The sequence below is a fragment of the Homo sapiens genome, chromosome 7 (assembly GCF_000001405.40).
Source record: "Homo sapiens chromosome 7, GRCh38.p14 Primary Assembly".
NCBI lineage: Eukaryota > Metazoa > Chordata > Mammalia > Primates > Hominidae > Homo > Homo sapiens.
Window position 1 is genome coordinate 27,800,464 of NC_000007.14, and position 21,372 is coordinate 27,821,835.

The following is a 21,372-nucleotide window of genomic DNA, read 5'->3' on the forward strand; positions in this document are numbered from 1 at the left end:
CCCAGCACTTTGGGATGCCAGTCTGGGAGGATTGCTTGAGTCCAGTAGTTTGAGATCAGCCTGGGCAACATAGGGAGATACCCACCCCCCTACCAGTCTCTAAAAAATAAAAATTAATAAATAAAAATAATTATTTTAGGGCCTTGACTTTTTTTGGAGTACAATAATATGTCATCAGTAATTTTAAAAATTTGGCTGGAGTTTTAACATTTATCACTAAAGTATGTGACTGTGATCCTAAATGAAATACTGTAAAAGCAAGTGATGTAATCTTAACTGATGAAAATTATTTTTGCCAATATAATCTTAGGCAACAGACAAGCCCAAATGATAAATGATACTGTAAGAATGTTAGAGAAGGTCAGGCATGATGGCTCACGCCGGTAATCCCAGCACTTTGGGAGGCTGAGGCGGGCGGATCACGAGGTCAGGAGTTTGAGACCAGCCTGGCCAACATAGTGAAACCCTGTCTCTACTAAAAATACAAAAAATTAGCCAGGCGTGGTGGTGGGCACCTATAATCCCAGTTACTCGGGAGGCTGAGGCAGGAGAATCGCTTGAACCCTGGAGGCGGAGGTTGCAGTGAGCCAAGATCATGCCATTGCACTCCAGCCCGGGTGACAGTGTGAGACTCCGTCTCAAAAAAAAAAAAAAAAGAATGTTAGAGAAAAAAAAAAAACAGGCTGTCCAGCTACTTAATAAGTAGAAATATGTATTTCTTCTAAGGAATAAAGTATAATTTAATATATTTTAAGAAATGTATGTAGATATAATTTACATTTTTTTTTTTTTTACTGAAGACCAGGAATTCTAAATGGTTTAAATATCATAGCTAATTGTATCTATGATCTAATTTTAAAGTTAGAATTACTTTAGTTTTCCCTTTTAGGGGCTGGAGATGTAGCACATTACAGGCTAAGTTACATTAGCTTATTATTTCTGTGATCCTTGTGGATATTCTTTTCAATAACTGGAACCTTCCTTAATTATTTATTAAGTGTGAATCATGAATTCATATGAAAAGAATTTTTTGCATATTGACTAGGAAAATGGTTTAGTAAATGTCTATTGAAGCCTATTTTACATAAAGTGCTATGTTAGATATTATGTGGGCGATCACATAAGGCACAGTGCTATGCTTAAGGAGTTTATAATCTGGTAGAGTGCTAGAAGTGTAATGGTAGTATGCACAAAATTTTCACACCACCCTAGGTAATCATCTATAAGCCATGGGAAGCTAAACAGGTAATTTTATTTCATTAATGTTAAAAGTAAGCATTGAGATCAAACAACATATCTAAAATTACGTAGTTGGTAAATGTGTTTGGCTTTTTATTTAGTTTCTTTTGCCCTATTTTGTACTGTTTTGACACAGACTAACACTGACCAGACAAGGCAAAATGTGATAAAGCTCCACATGAATGATAAGTTTAATTGCCTTAGAGTTGTGTCCAATCAAATATTTAGGGGGAAGACATTATGGAGTAACTAGACCTTTGAAAGAACAAACTGGAGGGGAGGAGAAGCAGAGCTAGGGAAAGGAAGCAGCAGCATTCTAAGTAGATGGAAGAGCATTAAGACACGTTTGGAGTTCAGAAGTGGAGCGCGTAGTCTGCGAACTGTGAGCAGTCTTGATCATTAGGACTTGAGTATCTATAATGGAGTAGCTTAGGCTTGAATGATAGCTTGAAGCCAGGTTTTAGAAGGCCTAAAATGGAATTTCGGTGCTAGTTCTGTTAAGAATGTTCTAGGAGAAAAGAGACCCAATCACAGCGAGTCTTTTTGAAAATAATTTGGCAGCATTGAAGAGGATTTAGAGGTGGGAAGGGTTTGAAGGTGAGGAAATCAGGTAGGAATATTCTTAGAATGAATTGATAAAGACCACCTCCTTTTGGGTACCTTCCCTGATCACCTGCCATTGAATGGGTCATGTGTCTACAAGAGAAAGCTGTGAAAGACATCTTTAGGGAAGAACCATTGAAGAATGATTTTATTTGTATTTGTATCCATTAATGCTTAAACTGTAATAGGTGACCAGTGGGTGATTGCTGAATGAATGAATGATTTAGAGACTGAAAGTGTTGGGGAGTGGAGAAAGAGGAAAAGGAAAAAGTATTCCAATATAGTTTCTAAGCTTTAGTCACAGTGTAGTCTGAGATTGAATTCTGTTAACAGAAGTACGAAAGTAGGCTTGGGACATTAACCATCAATTTAAAAGGCAGATTTGGAACTTGGGAAAGAGAAAGTGGTACACGAGTTAATATTTGTGATTTATTCCCGGGGGCGTGATATTTGAAGGTTTGGAAGAAGGTGAGTTTTCAGAGAGAATATTGAGAGAAGAGGCCAAAGAAGAAACTTTGGAGAATACTCATATTTGGACTGGGAAGAAAAAAAACACAAAAAAAGGGCATGGGATGATGAAAATATTCATGCAATTTCACATAAACCAAAGGAATAGTTTTAAGAATAAGGCAAGTTGGTCAATAAATGACAAGTAATTCAGAGAAGTCAAAGAATTAGCTGAGGAAAATACGTGGATTTAGTAATAGGAATTATTTTCGTAAAACAGTATAAACCAGATCTCAAAGTTGCAAGGAGGGAGTAGGTAAATGAAAAAAAATAAAGAAATTTCTTTCTTTATTCAGCTTCAATTGGCAGAGAAAGACAAAGAAATAAGTGGTCTGATTTCACATTTGGAAAACCTCTCCAGGGAGAAGGTATTGAGCAATGTAGTTAAACAAATGTGTATCACATGAAACTGAATAATAATAGAGCTTTATGAAGAGACACATTTTGAAGTTCATGTGACAGTACAATGTTCAAATTTAGGAAAACAGTGAAATTTCTAAAAATTACGTGAAATGTTTATCTGGTTTTCTTTTGTAATAGGAAACATTTTTGAAGTTGTTTAATGACTTACAGCAAAACCTCACATTCACATAGAGCAATACATTTGTAATGTAAAAGATACTATAGTGCAGCATTTCTGAAAGTGTGGTCTGTGGTCCTTTTGGTGGTTCCCAATCCCCTTTCAGGGGCCTGCAAAGAAACAATTTTCATAATAATACTACAACATTATTTGATTTTCTCCCTGCTGTGACATTTGCACTGTGTGAAAGCAGTGTGGAAAACTGCTTGTGTATTATTATGAATTAAGGCAGTGGCACCAAACTGCATTAGTAGTTATTGTATTCATCACCACCATGTGCTCACAGTAGAGAAAAAAAAAGCCAGTTGCACTGAAGATGTTAAAACAATAAAATGTGTTAATTTTATTGACGCTTGATCCTTGGGTACATGTCTTTTTAGTATTCTGTGTGATTAAACGGAAAGTACCCCTAAAGTTCTTTTGTTGCCTAATGAAGTATGATGGTTAATAAAGGTAAAGTGCTTGTTTGTTTGAGTTGTGAGTTGAGCTAGTCTCTTTTTTCATGGAAACCATTTTTACTTTAAAGAACAATTTCTATATTCAGACTTGGGTATTTGACAGATATTTTCTCAAAGTGAAATGAAATGAGCCTGTTATATCAGGGAAAAACAATTGATAATTTTTTTTGCCATTGATAATATTTGAGCTTTTAAGCAAAAACTGGAATTTTGAAAAACTTGTTATCTTCCAGTGTAAGCTTGATGCTTTCCAATGTTTACAAACTTTTCTAATGAGATGGTTGTAATATTTAGACTGTATTTTTTAATTGTATAGCAAAATTTGTCAGCATTTAGAAGATCCACATAACTCAGTGAACCAGTAGTTTTCCAAATGACCAGCGATGTTACAAAATCATGTATCATAAAAGAGCCATTCTAAGTGCAAGTTAGATTTCAAGGTTGTATGAGGTTACTGTGATAGTTGTGAAATTCTGATTTTTCAACTCATCACTTTTTCCACATTTGTCCTTTGGCATTCTACTATAAGGACGAACCTTCCTTTGTCCTTGTTTATGTATGTCTGTGTGGTATTGTTCCAGCAACGATTTTCTGATGCCAAAACTGGTATTCTACAATTCAGTTCAATTCTGATACTAACTACCATGAGTTAGCATAGACCCCTCAGGTTAAGGCTCAGTCCCACAGGACTGCTCCCACTTTAGATGCCAGTTACAAGTGAGGTCCTCAGGCTACTGATAGCAGTCATTTTCTCACACTTATTCACACGTAATTCACACATAAGTACTTAATAGCAAAAACTATTATGTACCATTAATAACAGTGAAAAAATAATGTGGCAGATGGGGAATTGTCTACTTGTGGCATCATGTCAGTGCTCAAAAAGTTTCAGTTTGGAACATTTCAGATTTTGGATTTTTTATCAGGGAATGCTCAACCTGTGTATGCTTTTTCTCAGCACTACTATATTCTGAAAACCATTCCATATATGAAGCTCATAGAAATCCTCCATCTTTTTTTAAACAGCTGTGTAGTACTTCATTATACATACCATAATTTATTCAACCAACTTCCTGTATTTGGCCATTTAGGTAGTTGCTAATATTTTACAAATAATACTGCAATGAATGATTCTATGCACATGTAGTTTTCTGGTGTTGGGGTGGTACCTTCAAGGTAAATTCCTAGAAGCGTGATTGCTGGTTTGAAGGGTAAATGCATGTGTAGTTTTGTTAGAGATTGCCAGATGCCCTTTCATAGAATTTGTATTATTTTTCGTTTCCACCAGCAATGTATGAGAAGTGGACCTGTTTCCCATATAAATTGTAATCAGGCTTTCTAATTTTTGCATATGGGAGAGATTAGGAATAGTACCTTAGTGTAGTTTTAATTTGCATCTCTATTATGAGCAAGGTTAAACATCTTATCTTTTTTGTGAGTTCTTTGGCTCATTATTCTCTGATTTTTGGTTTGTTTTACTTATCTTGTTATATATATATTTTTCCCCTATTAGAGATATTACCCCTTTATTTGTGATACATATGTGGTAAGGATTTTCTCTCAGTTTATTTGACTTTTGACTATGCTCACTATACTTACTTTTACCATGTAAATGTTCTTTATTTTTGTGTAGTCTAAAGTGTGGTACTGCCTTGACCAGCAATGTTAGCACCATCTGGAAACTTGTTAGAAATGCATATGCTTTGCCGGGTGCTGTGGCTTACGCCTGTAATCCTAGCACTTTGGGAGGCTGAGGCTTGTGGATCACCTGAGGTCAGGAACTCGAGACCAGCTTGGCCAACATGGTGAAACCACGTCTCTATTAAAAATGCAAAAATTAGCCAGGCATGGTGGCTCATGCCATGAGCCCAGCTACTTGGGAGGCTGAGGTGAGAGAATTGCTTGAACCCGGGAGGCAGAGGCTGCAGTGAGCCGAGATTGTGCCACTACACTCCAGCCTGGGCAACAGAGTGAGACTCTGTATCAACAACAACAACAACAACAACAAAATGCATATTCTTGGGCCCTGTTCTGGTCCTGCTGAATCAGCAGCTCTGGAAGTGATGCCCCAAAATTTGTGTTTGACAAAAACCCTCCAAGTGTTTCAGATTTATGCTCAGCTTTGAAAACTACTGATGTGTTGCATTTGAATTTTTAGTTTTCCACAGAAAGCATTCCCTACACCCAGGTTATAGAGGAGTTCACTTGTGTTTTGTTCTAATACTGATAGAGTTTCAGTTTTTTTTTTTTTTTGAGGTGGTGTCTTGCTCTGTTGCCCAGGCAACAGTGCAGTGGCACTAGCTCGACTCACTACAACCTTTGCCTCTCAGGTTCAAGCAATTCTCCTGCTTCAGCCTCCTGAGTAGCTGGGATTACAGGCTCCCGCCACCAAGCCTGGCTAATTTGTATATTTTTAGTAGAGACAGGGTTTTGCCATGTTGGCTAGGCTGGTCTCAAACTCCTGACCTCAGGTGATCCACCCGCCTCAGCCTTCCAAAGTGCTGGGATTACAGGTGTGAGCCACCATCAGTTTTTTTTTTTTTTAACATTAAAATTTCTTATCCATTTAGAATTTATTCTTGGATATCACAGAAGGAATGCATCTAAGTTTATCTCGTTCTAAATTGCTATCTAGTTATCTCAATCCATTCATCAAAATGCCGGTTTTATGTCAGTGATTTGAGATACTACATTTATTGTATAATAGATTTCCATATGCAGTTGGGTCTCTTTCTGTACTTTGAGTACTGTTCCATTGATCTGTCTACTCATATGGTAGTAACATGGTGTTTTAATTGTAAGAACTTTGTAGTCTATTTTAATATTTGGTTGGGTTAGTCCTTTCTCATAACTCTTTGTTTTCAGTGTTTTTCTAGCTTTTCTCTTGAAGGGTTAGTTTTCCATAGCAATTTTAGTACCAACTTTTCTAGCTCTAGAAATGATTGTTGGTGTTTTTATTGATATTGCATTAAGTATATACATTAACTTAGGGATAACTAACATCTTGGTGATATTTCTACCTTTTAATAAAGAACAGGCAATATGGGATGTTTTGTTCAAATCTGTTTTGTGTCTTTCAGGAATTTTAAATAATTTTCTTCCTATGGGTGTGGAAGAATTCTTTTTAAAGTTTATTCCTAAGTATTTTTGTTTTTCCTCTTGAAAATGGGATTTTCTCTTTCATTGTATGTTGTAACTGGTTATTGTTTTTGAATATGGGGCTCTTGAACTTTTTGTAGTTTTAAATTTTTATGTAATTTCAAACTCAAGTTGAAAAAATAGTATAGTGAACTCTCATTTATATTCTTTCCCCAACATTTGACAGTAACTGGAGGTGAAGACATAACAGTCCCTGCATATTGTATCCTCAGTACAAGGATGTTCTTTCAGCCATGTTAAAGTTAACAGATTTAGGAAGTTTAACACTGACACAGTATTATCATCTAACCTACAATACATATTGAAATTGTATCCTTAGTACTTTGTTTATTGTTTATAGTCTTTTCCTCCCTGATCTAGGATCCAATCCATGATCATACATTGCATTTAGTTGTCATGTGTTTAGTTTCCCTTTATCTGGAACAACTTTATAGCCTTTCTTAACCTTGACATTTTTGAAAAATATGGGCCAGTTATTTAATATAATACTAATTTTGGTTTAATATTTCATCACGATGAAACTTAGGTTATGAATTTTGCCAGGAATACTATAGAATTTAAATATCCTTCTCAATACTGGTGATCTTTCATTATTTGGTTAAGGTATTGTCCACCAGGTTTTACTGATATAAAATTAATATTTTCCCTTTGTAATTAATAAGTAATTTGTAGGGAGATACTTTGAGACCATGTAAATATCTTGTTCTTTATCAGACTTTCACCTGGTATTTTAGTATCTATTAATGATCTTCTAACTCCATAATTCCTTCTATATTGATTAGAATTTTTCTGTAAGAGCTATCTTTTCTTTCTCCCCAATTTGTTTATTTATTCATTGATATTTATCATTGTAGACTCATGGATTCCCGTTTTAGTCAATGGATTACAGTCTATTTTTATAATCATTTTGATACTCAGATTGTATCAGATTTAACTAATAAGAGCCCCTGCATACTAGCTCTTGTGGCTTAATGTGTCTTTCATTATTCTTTGAGCACTTATTACTTTCTGGTGCAGAAGGATGTTCCAGGCTCATCTTGTTATTTTCCTGCCCCAGCCTGGAATCAGTCTTTTCTCCAAGGAGCCCTGTTCCATTTACTGGTGTATGTAGTTTAGAAACCAAGATCTGGGCTGTAGGTGTACCCTCATTGATTCAAAGTCCTTAGCAGACAGAGCTGGAAAATATGGTTCTCCCCCTCTCTTTCCCTCTCTGTATATTAAAAAATAGCAACACACACAAAAAACTATGAGTAAATACTTATACCTCCAATTGTAGTCTAAAACTACAGCATAAATTCTAGTCTTCTCTCTTTCCATAATATAACTTCCTTTTCTAATTAGACTAGGAACCTGGTCTGAGTTTCCTTGATATATTTACTCAAGTGTTGAATACACAGAAAATAATTTCAGAATTGCTAACCCATAGCACTGTGAAAAGCACATCTAACTAGAGTTCAACATTTGTTTCATTTTTTTGGTGGGTAGGGTGGAGGGTGTAAAATTTACATATTTAGTTGTCCTATGGTGTACTCTCCGCGCTCCTTTACTCTCAGAACATTCCCATGATGGCAGAGAAGAGGAATATATTATTTCTCCTATTTACCAGTTGGAGTATCAGAAACATCCTTAACTTGTCAAATAATTTGTAAAACCGGGGTCACTGTGAGCCATTTTGGGTACCGAAGAAAAAAAGTATTTAGGCACCCTGGCAAAGGCAACCAGCTAAACAGACTTGTTCCTGGGAGCTGGAACAGTAAGAGATGACTACTTCTGACAAAATCTCTTTCTTAAATTGTGGTGGCTATTTTAGGAAAATTATGAGTCAGCAGTTAATACTGTTTTGCTCAGTTAAGATAGCTACACTTATGTTATCCATGCCTTTGTAAGTAGGAGAGGTCCCCCAGGGATTCTTGACCATTTTTGTTTCTAGAACCCTTTGATATTTTGACAAAGTCTATTTTCAGAAAATGATTTAAAATGAATAGAGCAAAATGTGTAGAATCACAAAGGAAACACATTATTGTAGTTATCAAAATATTAAGACAAATTTGTGATATATATGATAGAGTATGTGCTTATTCTTTTAAATGTTAAATAAGATTTAATAGCATGTCTAATAATGACTGTAATTTTGAAGTGGTGATCAATAGAAAGGCTATTTTGAGATGGCTACAACAAATGTAATTCGAAACAAATGTAAGATTTAGCAGCATGTCTGATAATGACCATAATTTTGAAGTGGTGATGAATATAAAGGCTATTTTGAGATGGCTACAACAAATGTAATATGAAACAAATCTGTTTGATCTCTGTAGGTGGCCAAGTTACAGGTACCACAACCATTACTGTGTTTTTTGGCCTACATTCCTAATGGAAGAAAATCCTAAATTTTAGTTAGAAGTTAGTGAATAGATACAATTTTTTTTGCCCATGTAAGTTCATGGACCTCCTGAAATCTAAACATGGACCCCTTGAGGGGCTTTGTGAATGCAAGTTTAAGAACCTTCTCTAAGTCCAGGTATTATGTTTTGGAGGGGAGAGTTCAGTCTTCTGATTTGCAAAAGAACCTAACCTTAACTATCTTGTCCATGTGCATGCATTCTCTGTCCCCCATGAGGAATCAAAGCTGCTTGTCACCAATCCTATTCTTACCCTGAATCCTATTTGCAAATAATTTATTGTATCTTTGATGGTAGAGTAGGCATATTAGATTAAACTCTCTATTAGGTTGGAACTCTATAAAGTTGCTTGACTGTACCAATGCAGCCTAAATCTTTTCATGAAACCCTTGACTCTATTTCAGTAGTGTATTATTTGCTTACAGAAGAATTTAAACTCTACTTCTTTAATTTGCATAAACTTTTGAATAAGTATTTTATTATCTCTAACTTCTTTTGTGCCTTTTTTTTTTTGGGAGACGGAGAATCTTGCTCTGTCACCTAGGCTGGAGTGCAGTGGCGCGATCTTGGCTCACTGCAACCTCTGCCTCCTGGGTTCAAGCAATTCTCCTGCTGCAGCCTCCTGGGTAGCTGGGACTACAGGTGTGTGCCACCACGCCTGGCTAATTTTTTATATTTTTAGTAGAGACAAGGTTTCACTGTGTTAGCCAGGATGGTCTTGATCTCCTGACCTCATGATCCACCTGCCTCAGCCTCCCGAAGTGCTGGGATTACAGGCGTGAGCCACCACGCACAGCCCTTTTTTTTTTTTTGAATCGTGTTTGAAATGTTTCTTGGATTTAACCTTTCTTTTTTTTCTGTAGTCACATGCCAGTCTTGAATGACTACAGTAGCATCTCTGGGGTTTTCAGTCATGGCAAGAGATGAAGGATATCTTTTGAATGCCTTTCTTGTTCTAAATGTATCTCCTATTTCTCAATAGCCCTGTAAGGCTTAGAAAAGGTAAATTCTTTAGGGTTATTAGTGCTGATCTGATAATCAAATCTAGGTCAGCCTGATTCCAATCTACCATGCTGTGCTGCCTTCCTACTAATTTGCTTCTGGTTTTGAGTATGCCCATTATTGTTTTGCTAGATTAACCTTACCAAGGACCATTTTTACCGTGTTGTTATTGTTAAAAAACCTGAAGGCCCATTGTAAATTGTATGACAGATTTGACACATCTGACCTTCAACTTGTCTTTTCAGCTATATCTCCTGCCTGAGACAGGGTCTTGCCTTGCTATGTTGCTCTCTAACTCCTGGGCTCAGGTGATCTTCCCTCCCAAAGTGCTGGGATTATAGGTGTGAGCCACCATTCCCAGCTCCTGCTGCTCTTAATATGCATCCTTTGCTCTAGTCATATTTTACCAAGCCTGAAATACGTTATTATTTCTCATATGTTCTGTATCTTTTTATTTACTTTATGTCAGAATGCTCTTCATCTGCTTGGTGAAAATTCCTTAGGATCCATCTCAAATGGCTCTTCTCTATAGTCTCTTCCTAGTATACAGTGTTTCCATTTTGATACATTGCATTTTACCTTCATCTCTATACGAGACCACTTACCACAATTAATTGCTAATTATTTATCTAGAGTTGTACCTTTTATTAGACTGAATTCTTTGCAGGCAAAATCCATTTCAAGTTAATCTTTGTATCTCTAGTTCCTAGTACGGCACCTGTTACATAATAGATGGTGTGCTAGGTATCTTGAAAGAGTATTTTCCTTTTTTGCTTAAAATTTCACAAGTCTTATTTTTGCAGTTAAATAATGAGTGGTTGAAAGGCAGGAATGCCATCTTAACCTCACAGTTTTACACAGTACCTGGCATAGTTGATATGTGGACGTGTATGTTATGTATGGACTTGCTTAGAAAGAACTTTTAATTCCTGCATCTCTTATCAAACCTAAGTTGACTTGCATTTTTCTTAATGTTTGCAAGTTTTGCTCTTGATGATGACTTTCATTTTAAGGTTACTTAGTCCATTTATTGGATCATTTATATAGGTAAAAATGTGTTAACTTAGACACAGTCTCATCTCTACCCCCAAGAAATGACAAGCAGCAAAACCAGCTCAACTTTCCAGACTAAATTTTTCATTCTTATATCCTTTGTTAATAAGGCCTCTGGTTGATTTTTTTTTTTTAACAGCTCTGTTAAGGTGCAGTTTACATGTAATAGAATCTGTTCATTTAAATAGAGTTTGATGACTTTTGGCAAATGCATGTAGTTCTGTAACTACCGTTTCATTCAAGCAGTGTAACGTTTCCATTACTGCACAAAGTTCCCTCTTGCTCATTTGCATTCGTCCCCTCCTGCTACCCCCCTGTCCTAGAAAACCTCTGGTCTGCTTTCTGTCCCTGTCGTTTTATGGCTTCTAGCATTTCATGTAATTGGAATAAAGCAGAATTTATCCATTCATTAGTTGATAGACATTAATCTACCAGCTGATGGACATTTAAATTATTTCTGATATTTTGCTATTACAAATAATGCTGCTATGAACATTCTTACGTAAGTCTTTTTGTGGACATATGTTTTCATTTTTCTTGAGTAGATACCTAGGAGTGGAATTGCGGGCTTATATGGTAAGTGTATGTTTTTAATGAAACGGCCGAATTGTTTTTACAAAGTGGCTGTACCATTTTTGTATTCCCACTGGCAGTGTATGAGCATTCCAACTGCTCCATATCCTCACCAGCACTTGGTATTTTTGTCAGTCTTTAATTTTAGTCATCCTAGTGGGTGTATTAGTGTTATCTCATTGTGGATTTTAGTTTTAATTTCCCTGATAACTAGTGATGCTGAGCATCTTTTCATGTGCTTGCAGGCCATTTGTACATATTCCTTTGTGAAGTTTCTGTTCAAATCTATTTTTTTTTATTGAGCTGTCTGTCATCTTTGGTTGCGACAGTTCTTTATATATCCCAGATATAATTCCTTTGTCAGATATTTTGGTGTTATTTTCTTCCAGTCTGTGATTTCTTTTTTCCTTTTTTACAACATTATCTTTTGAAAAGCAAAAGCCTTGAATTTTGAGGTAGTCCAGTTTATCAGTATTTGTCTTAATGCTTCATGCTGTTTGTCCTATCTTAAATTTTTGCCTAAATCAAGGTTATGAAGATATTCTCCTATTTTTTTCTTCCAAAAGGTTTGTAGTTTTAGCTCTCTTACTTTAGATTTATGATCTATTTGTTTTTTATATGGTATGATATGTAGTCAAAGTTTATTTTGTATATAAGTACCCAGTTTTTAAAGATCATGTTGAAAAGACCATCCTTTTCCTCCATAGAATTTCCTCTACATCTTGAGGTATTTTAAATGTTGAAAATACTCTATAAGTATGGGTCTACTTTTAGAATCTATATTCTATTTTATTGATTTTTATCAAGGGTCAGCAAACTAAGGCCTATATGCTAAATCTGGCTTTATATAAATAAAACTTTATTAGCACATGGCCATGCCCATTCATGTAGGTATCATCTATGACTGCAATTGCAGAGACAGATTTCAGTAGTTGCAACAGAGACTGTGTGGCCTACAAAGGTGAAAATATATACTGTTTGACCCTTTGCAGAAAAAGATTGCCAGCTCCTCATCTATATTCTTATGCCAATACTATACCGTCTTGTTTACTGTAGCTTTATAATACGTCTTGAAATCAGGTTTCATAAGTCCTCCAACTTTGTTCTGCTTTTTTTTTTTTTTTTTTTTTTCTTAAAGACAGCATCTCCCTGCCATCTTCCAGGCTGGAGTGAGTGGCTTGATCGTAGTTCACTGCAGCCTTGACCTCGACCTCTTGGGCTGAAGTGATCCTCCTGCCTCAGCCTCTGAAATAGCTGACTACAGGCATGTGCCACTGTACCTGGCTAAATTTTTTCTTGTTTTCTTTTCTTTTCTTTTTTTTTTCTTTTTTTTTCTGAGACAGGGTCTTACTCTGTCACCCAGGCTGGAGTGCAGTGGTGCCATCATGGCTTACTGTAGCCTTGACCTCCCAGACTCAGGTGATCCTCCCACCTCAGGTTTCTGAGCAGTTGGGACTATAGGCACATGCCATCACACCCAGCTAATTTTTGTATTTCATGTAGAGAAAGGGTTTGCCATGTTGCCCAGGCTGGGCTCAAGTGATCCACCCAGAGCCTCACAAGTGCTGGGATTACAGGTATGAGCCACGGTGCCTGGCCATTTTAAAATTTTTTATTGAGATAGGGTCTCACTATGTTGTCCAGGCTTGTCTCAAACAGGCAATCCTCCTGCTTTGGCCTCCCAAGTGCCACATTGTGAAAATCAGTGAGAAACAGGAAATGAAGGTGGCTTGTCCAATCTGATTCAAAGGCTTGAGGAGTTGTACAGTGGCCAATAGTCACACACATCCCATTAGTAACTACTTATTTAGGAATGAAATAAACACATTAATTTTCTTTCAATTTATGTGTAGTTTTTTTTTTAACGGTCACTAAATTTGTTAGAAGACAAATACTTAATGGTCAGTAAGTCCTCACTTAACATCATAGAGCAGTTCTTAGAAACTGCAACTTTAAGCGAAAGGACTTACAGCAGGTTGAAAGAAATAACTCCTCATGATCCGCCCGCCTCGGCCTCCCAAAGTGCTGGGATTACAGGTGTGAGCCACCGCACTTGGCCTTTTTTTTTTTTTTCTTTTTTTTGAATCGTGTTTGAAATGTTTCTTGGATTTAACCTTTCTTTTTTTTCTGTAGTCACGTGCCAGTCTTGAATTACTACAGTAGCATCTCTGGGGTTTTCAGTCTTGGCAAGAGATGAAGGACATCTTTTGAATGCCTTTCTTGTTCTAAATATATCTCCTATTTCTCAGTAGCCCTGGAGTTACAGGCATAAGCCATCATGTCCAGCCTGTTCTGCTTTTTACATATGGGCTATTACAGGACCTTTGTGTTTCTGTGTACATTTTAGAATTATTTTGTTAATTTGTACAAAAGCCTACTGGGATTTTCTAGGCATTGTATTGTATCTATAGTTAATTTGGGGGGGGAATTAATAGCATAAAAGTACTAAGTTTTCTAGTCCATGAACATGTTATATGTCTCCCTTTGTTTATGCTCTTCTTAATGCATTATTTTGTTTAGTGTATAGGCTTTGCACATCTTTCATATATTTATTCCTAAACATTTTATCTATTGATTTTACTCTAAGTAGAATTATTAAAAATATCATTTTCCAATTATTTGTTGCTGTATGTAGAAATACAATTGATTTTACATATTGATCTTGTATACTGCAACCTGACTAAATTATTTACACTCATTTTTCTAGTTTTTTTTTTGAGACGGAGTCTCATTCTGTCACCCATGCTGGAGTGCAGTGGCGCGATCTCGGCTCACTGTAACCTCCATCTCCCAGGTTCAAGCAATTCTTTCTGCCTCAGCCTCCTGAGTAGCTGGGACTACAGGTGTGTGCCACCACGGTTGACTAATTTTTTTGTATTTTTAGTAGAGACGGGATTCCACCGTGTTAGCCAGGATGGTCTTGATCTCCTGACCTTGTGATCCATCCGCCTCGGGCTCCCAAAGTGCTGGGATTACAGGCGTGAGCCACTGTGCCCGGCCATTTTCCTAGTTTTTATAGATTTTTTGGGATTTTTTACATTTATCCTCATACCATTGTGAATAAAGATTGTTTTACTTCTTCCTTTCCAGTCTACCTTAATTTTGCCTTGATCCACTGGCTATTTTGAATGGAAGTGTTGAGAGCAGACATCATTGTCTTATTATTATTGATCTCATTTTGATCTTCAGTAGAATCATTTAGTTTTTCACCATTAAGGGTCACAGTAGGTTTTTATAGCTGCCTTTTATGAGGTTAAGAGAGCTCCTTTTTATTCTTTAGTTTCTGAGATTTAAAAAAAATCATGAATGACTTGAATTTTGTAAAATATTTCTTCTGCATCAATTGAAATGATCATGTTTCTTTTTCCCCTTTATTAAAAGGTAAATTACATTTATTGATTTTTGGATGTTGAACTGCATTTGGTTTTTGGATGTTAAAATGACTTTTTTTGTGATAAAGTCCATTTGATCATGTTTTATTTTTTAATATTGGGTTTGACGTGCTATAAGTTAAGGCTTTTGCATCAATATTTATGAGGGATAAGGTCTCTAGTTTTTTTGTGAAATCCTTGTTTTTGGTATCAGAATAATACTGGCTTTGTAAAACAAGTTAGGAAATGTTTCTTTGTGTTTTGAAAGAGTTTATACAGGACACATTTTTATAAAAAAATCTTAAGTGATAGAATTCACGTTTTTCTTTTTTTAAGGAGACTTTTTGGCCGGGTGCAGTGGCTCATGCCTGTAATCCCAGCACTTTGGGAGGCTGAAGTGGGTGGATCAAGAGGTCAGGAGTTCAAGACCAGCCTGACCAACATGGTGAAACCCTGTCTCTACTAAAAATACAAAAATTAGCCAGGTGTGGTGGTGCGCATCTGTAATCCCAGCTACTCAGGAAGCTGAGGGAGGAGAATTGCTTGAACCCAGGAGGTGGAGGTTGCAGTGAGCCAAGATCGTGCCATTGCACCCCAGCCTGGGTGAAGCTCTGTCTCAAAAAAAAAGACTTTTTATTCATACCTAAGTTGTAAGAGATTCACAGTTTACCCTACATTAACTCAATGAGAATGATGTACTTTCTTGGCACAAATAAATTTGAAAATACATCGGCTTTATCCTGCTTTCTGATTTTGTTATATGTGGAGGATACATTTATGAGAAGTTGAGAGCCAGCTTTTCTAACTGTGTTTCCAATTGCATTCCAACTTCATAATAGGAAATAATTTTATTGTTATATTTTGACTAAATGTTTAATACTGCTGTATTTATGAAATATTTTATTGCTTTGCTTATTCATCTTTGTTTTTGTTAATTTTAGGAACTTAAAAGGAGTCTAGAAAATCCAGCAGAAAGGAAAATGGAAGGTCAGAATTCCCAGAGTCCTCAATGTTTCAAAACATGCTCAGAGCAAAATGGTTATGTTCTCACATTGTCAAATGCACAACCAGTTCTGCAATATGGTAATCCTTATGCATCTCAGGAAACAAGAGGTTATTACAGTATTTTTGGTTTGGGATTAGCTGCATCTGGAGATTTTTTTATGGTTTATATTTTCATGGATTAGCAAACTGCTGGTATAATCAACCCTAATACAAACATTATTTTATTTGTATAATTAGCAGTTTTAATATTTAACACTGTAACTGGCTTCATCTAGAAGTGATGCACCATGAGATGAGTACTTTATTTACTTATTGCATATAGTTCACAATTTAAAAAATCACCTGGGTTAAAAATAAAAACATCTATTTTTTTCACATGCCAAAGTGGTTCTTTATATCCTGTTCATCATATCTGTATATACAGATGTTAGTTGTAGTAACCAGTTTCACTCTACCTTTCCAAAAATTTTATTACAGATGGAGCAGATGGTGCTTTTTACCCAGATGAAATACAAAGGCCACCTGTCAGAGTCCCCTCTTGGGGACTGGAAGACAATGTTGTCTGCAGCCAGCCTGCTCGAAACTTTAGTCGGCCTGATGGCTTAGAGGACTCTGAGGATAGCAAAGTAAATTGAATTTTCATTGTGTGAGCCTGTCCCTTTTTTATTTTTTAGCTTATGTAGAGAGTTAAGGGTATGTGTGCATATGTGTATCTTTGTGCGTGCATGCGTGTGTGTGGAAGGAGAGTGTGTGCTTGTGCCTGCACACAATTGCCTACTTGATTTTTTGAAAACTGTGCTTGTATTTAAATTTGAAAAATCTACCAGTATGCTTCAGACTTATACTTTAGGATTTATATACTAAAGTAAAAGATTAAGTTTAGAGAATAATCTCAGAATATTGTAGTTATCAGATAGTTTAATCTTAAACATCACTAAGTAACTTACTATATTCTTTTGATTATAGATGTTAGGCTTGAAGCAGCAAAGTGTTAATGGCAGTGTTATGCTTCAGTGTACATCTTTTCTTTATAGCATTTATATCCCACTTTAGATTTTAGTGTGGACTCTTCATTATCTTCAGCCAGAAAAAGAGAAAAGTGTATGTATCATATAGTGGTTTTCTTTTTTGGAGAAATACTATTTGAGATGTCTTTAGTATTTAGGTAGGATTTCTTATTCTCTGGCAGCAACACAATACTGATGATAATTGAATTAGTTTGTATAGCATGTCATTATTTTTGTAAATTTTATTTAAGAGATTCCTTCAATATTTAATGAATAGGTTTGTTTCCTTACAGCAGCTCTTTTTGGATAGATAATATGTTCTTTTCTTCATAGTAGCTCTTTTTGGATTTCCTGTGCATTAAGATGAATTTAAAAGAAATGCTTTATCGTGCTCTTTGCAAGTACAGTGGTATCATGACCTGTTTCTTATTTAATCTAGTTTGCTGCATTTAATTGCTATTAACCTTTGCAGAAACTGATCAGTGTTCAGACAGGCATGATTTTAGCCCTAGTGCTCAACACCCATAATGGAGAAAAATGTATTTCTCCCTCCTGCCTTTTGGCCTCCTGTGTCCATTACTGGGAATAATTAGGAAAACTGTCAGAACTTTTGTAGCCTATTTAAGGTCTAGAGTATCATCTTACTGCTTTTTCACACCTTTACTTCACATTTTGCGTATTTAATCTGATCATTCTTGGCACAGATGTTACATGTGACAAGCCCTTCTCTTCCGTAGTCATCTGCTTCAGTTTAATTAGCAGAATGTTCTTTCTGATCTGTGTGCTTTGCCCTCCTGCAAACCCAGGAGAAGCAGTGTTAGAGTCTTGTGCTCATTTGCTGACATGCTTAGATTTGGTAATGAGATGGAGGACTCTTAATATGCACACCTCGAGTAACTTTATTTTGCAGTCAGAAGATTTTTCACATTAGAAAGTAATTCTTATGTATATTCAGAATTAAAAAAAATTCTTGTTGTTACAACAACAAAAATCACTTGCAAATGAAGTGTTTTAGTAAGTAATTTTAGTAAGAATATGGAAAGCAAATTTGAGTTGACCTGTTCTTTCTTTCTGTTTCTCTGCCCTGGGAGTGATTAATAGCCACAGGCCCCAGCACTTTTGAGTCAGGGTTGAGGTGACCTACCTACTCTTTCAGCCTACCCTAGTGCCTACACCTGCCATATCTCCTCTCTTCTGCACCAGAAACTGTGGTCAATTGTCAGATCAAAAACCTTTTGTGACTCCCGTTTACCTAATGATTGTAATAACTTTAACATCATAATTATGACAGCAGCAAACATTTCTATACCCCTCTTTGCCATTAATGCTGAACTCTTTAGATAGAGTCACTTATTTGTTCTTCATAGCAGTCCTATGAGGTAGGAATTGTTACTGTTACAACTTTATAGTGGAGGAAACCAAGAGACAGATTAAATAGCATGCCCCAAATCACTTAGCTGCTGTGGGTAGAGACAGGATTGAATCTCATGAGATTGGCTATAGAAGTTGTGGTCTTAGCCACCTGTCAAATGGACTAAACCAGAGGTTTTCATACTTTCTTAGTTCTAGTAACCCCTAGGCCAAAAGAAATACAGTAAGTCCTCACTTAATGTCATATATAATAAGTTACTGGAAATTGTGACTTTAAACGAAATGATGTGTAACAAAACCAGTTTTTTCCCTCATCAACGTTGTAATGAACCGATGAAAGAATGATGTTATTTCTTTCAACCTGCTGTAAGTCCTTTCACTTAAAGTTGCAGTTTCTAAGAACTGCTCCATGATGTTAAGTAAGGACTTGCTGACCGTTAAGTATTTGTCTTCTAACAAATTTAGTGACCATTAAAAAAAAAAGAAAAAACTACACATAAATTGAAAGAAAATTAATGTGTTTATTTCATTCCTAAATAAGTAGTTACTAATGGGATGTGTGTGACTATTGGCCACTGTACAACTCCTCAAGCCTTAGAATCAGATTGGACAAGCCACCTTCATTTCCTGTTTCTCATTGATTTTCACAATGTGGCACTTGCTTTATATCACAGCAACTGCCAAAACCAGCATCTCGAAGATAAGATGGCATTGAAAGGAATGTGTAGCACATTTAAAGTTGAATCTGTGAGCGATCTCCAGTGACTGTAGTTGTTCACGTGGTATATGACAAATGCAGATGCTCCTCAACTTACGATGGGGTTACATCCTGATAAACCCATCATAAGTTAAATATGTGTTTTTGACTTGAAGGATATTTTCAGCTTACAGTGGGTTCATTGGAACGTAACCCCATCATAAGTTGAGGAAGGTACTGAATGTGTATTGCTTTTGTACCATCTTAAAGTTCAAAAATTGTAAGTCTAACCATTGTATGTTGGAGACCAACTCTAATGAATATTTCTGTGTACTTCTGCATATATAATATCCTTAGAAAATTAAAATTATCCCACAGTAACCCTCGGAATTTACTGTGGTGCCCTAGGTACTTTCATACCTAGTTCTGCAAACTATGGGTCTAAATCCTTGCTCCTCAAAAAAGTGGTTTGTAGACCAGCAGTAGTGGTATCTCCTAGGAGTATGTTGGAAATGGCAGAATCTCCTGCCCCACTCCAGCCTTACTGAGAATCAGACTGCATTTAACAAAATCTTTAGGTGATCATATGATTTTTAACATTTGGGATACGCTATTTTAAAACTGCCTAACCCCAATCATTCAAGGCCAGATTATTATCTCTTCCCTTAATTCATATCTTACTTTCTAGTTGCATTCTTGCATTTCTTAGTGTTTCTCTTCTACCTTCATTCCTTTCTCCTCTATCAAAGACGAAAGCCCACACATTCTATTAATATGTGGCTTATTTGAAACTTTTCACATGAGCCCTTCACTGTGAACCCCTAAACTGCAGACATTTTTTGTTGATAGACAATTTTTTTCTTTTTTCTGGTGAGTTCTAGCTTTTATTCTCAGAAGCGTCTGTTACTCCAAAATGATTGAGAACCAGTGCTTGAGAGAGTTGAGGGCTGTTTCCCATTTATCATGTTGCACTGTTTGAGTTTTTGCCTTTCTCAAACTTGCCATTTTTCATATATTATCTTACGTTTTAAATTTAATTTTAATGTGTTTTCTGTTCACAAAAATAGTGTGTGATTACAGTCAATTCATTTTTATCAAGAGAGCCAAGACAATTCAAGAGGAAAAGAATAGTCTTTGCAACAAATGGTACTGGAAAAACTGTATATGCAGTTCGATGAAAGAATGAAATTAGACTCTTGATTCATAGCCTGTGCAGAAATTAACTCAAAATTTGATTTTAAATGTTAAGAGCTAAACTACAAAACTCAAAACATACAGATAAATCTTTACGACTTAGATTAGGCAGTAGTTTCTTAGATATGACACCAACAGCATAAGCAACAAAGGAAAAAATAGATATAGGTTGACTATCCCTTATCCAAAATGCTTGGGACCAGAAGTATTTCAGATTTCAGATTTTTTCAGATTTTGGAATATTTGCATTATACTTAACAGTTGAGCACCTCTAATCTGAAAATCCAAAGTCCACAGTGCTTCAGTGAGCATTTCCTTTAAGTGTCATCTCAGGGCTTAAAAAGTTTTGGATTTTGGAGCATTTTGCTCTTCAGATTTTTGGATTAAAGATAGTCAGCCTGTAATTGAATATGTCATCAAAAGGATTAAATGAATCTTTGCTGTTCCATTTAAAATTTTTTGTACACAGTTATTTCCAACAGATAATATATAGCTGGTTGGCATCTCTTAATTCTGAATATTCACTTTTCTATACCATATTAGTATAATACCTTTCATATAGTAGAGGCTTTTAAAATGTTATTAATGAGTTTAAAGAAATGTGTTTGTTCCATTTTTGCCTATTAAACTATTTAAAATTCAGGCCATCTTAGAAAAGTAATTGTTGGGCTGGGCATGGTGGCTCAAGCTTGTAATCCCAGCACTTTGGGAGGTCTAGGCAGGCAGATCACTTGAGGTCAGGAGTTCGAGACCAGCCTGGCCAACATGGCAAAACCCCATCTCTACTAAAAATACAAAAAAAATTTATCTGGGCATGGTGGTGCACGCCAGTAATCCCAGCTACTTGGAAGGCTGAGGCATGAGAATTGTTTGAACCTGAGAGACAGAGGTTGGAGTGAGCCAAGATTGTGCCACTATACTCCAGCCCGGACAACAGAGCAAGACTCGGTCTCAAAAAAAAAAAAAAAAGTAGTTAATTTTTTGTGATAGCTTGAGATATAATTCACATATTATACAATTTGCCATTTAAAGTATACAATTTAGTGGTTTTTAATGTATTCACAGAGCTGTGCAACCATCACCGCATTCAATTTTAGAACATTTTCCTCACCAGCAAAAAAAACCCTGTAGCCTGTAGCGGTTAACCTCTTCCC

General features: G+C 36.0%; 1 protein-coding gene across 6 annotated transcripts in view; it reads left to right on the forward strand.

Moving 5' to 3' along the window:
* TAX1BP1 (Tax1 binding protein 1) overlaps nt 1-21,372 on the forward strand; it is a 90,395-nt gene that overhangs the window by 61,091 nt on the left and 7,932 nt on the right. For 3 of the 6 annotated variants that reach the window (NM_001206901.1, NM_001079864.3, NM_001206902.2), the window contains 2 exons: nt 15,886-15,931; nt 16,427-16,575. The exons of 1 other annotated variant lie outside the window; for it this stretch is intronic. In NM_001206901.1, the coding sequence (NP_001193830.1) occupies nt 15,886-15,931; nt 16,427-16,575 (195 nt within the window). Of the gene's footprint in view, nt 1-15,885; nt 16,058-16,426; nt 16,576-21,372 lie in introns of all 6 variants that reach the window. 2 more of the 6 variants (NM_006024.7, NM_001362794.2) reach the window with 2 other exon arrangements.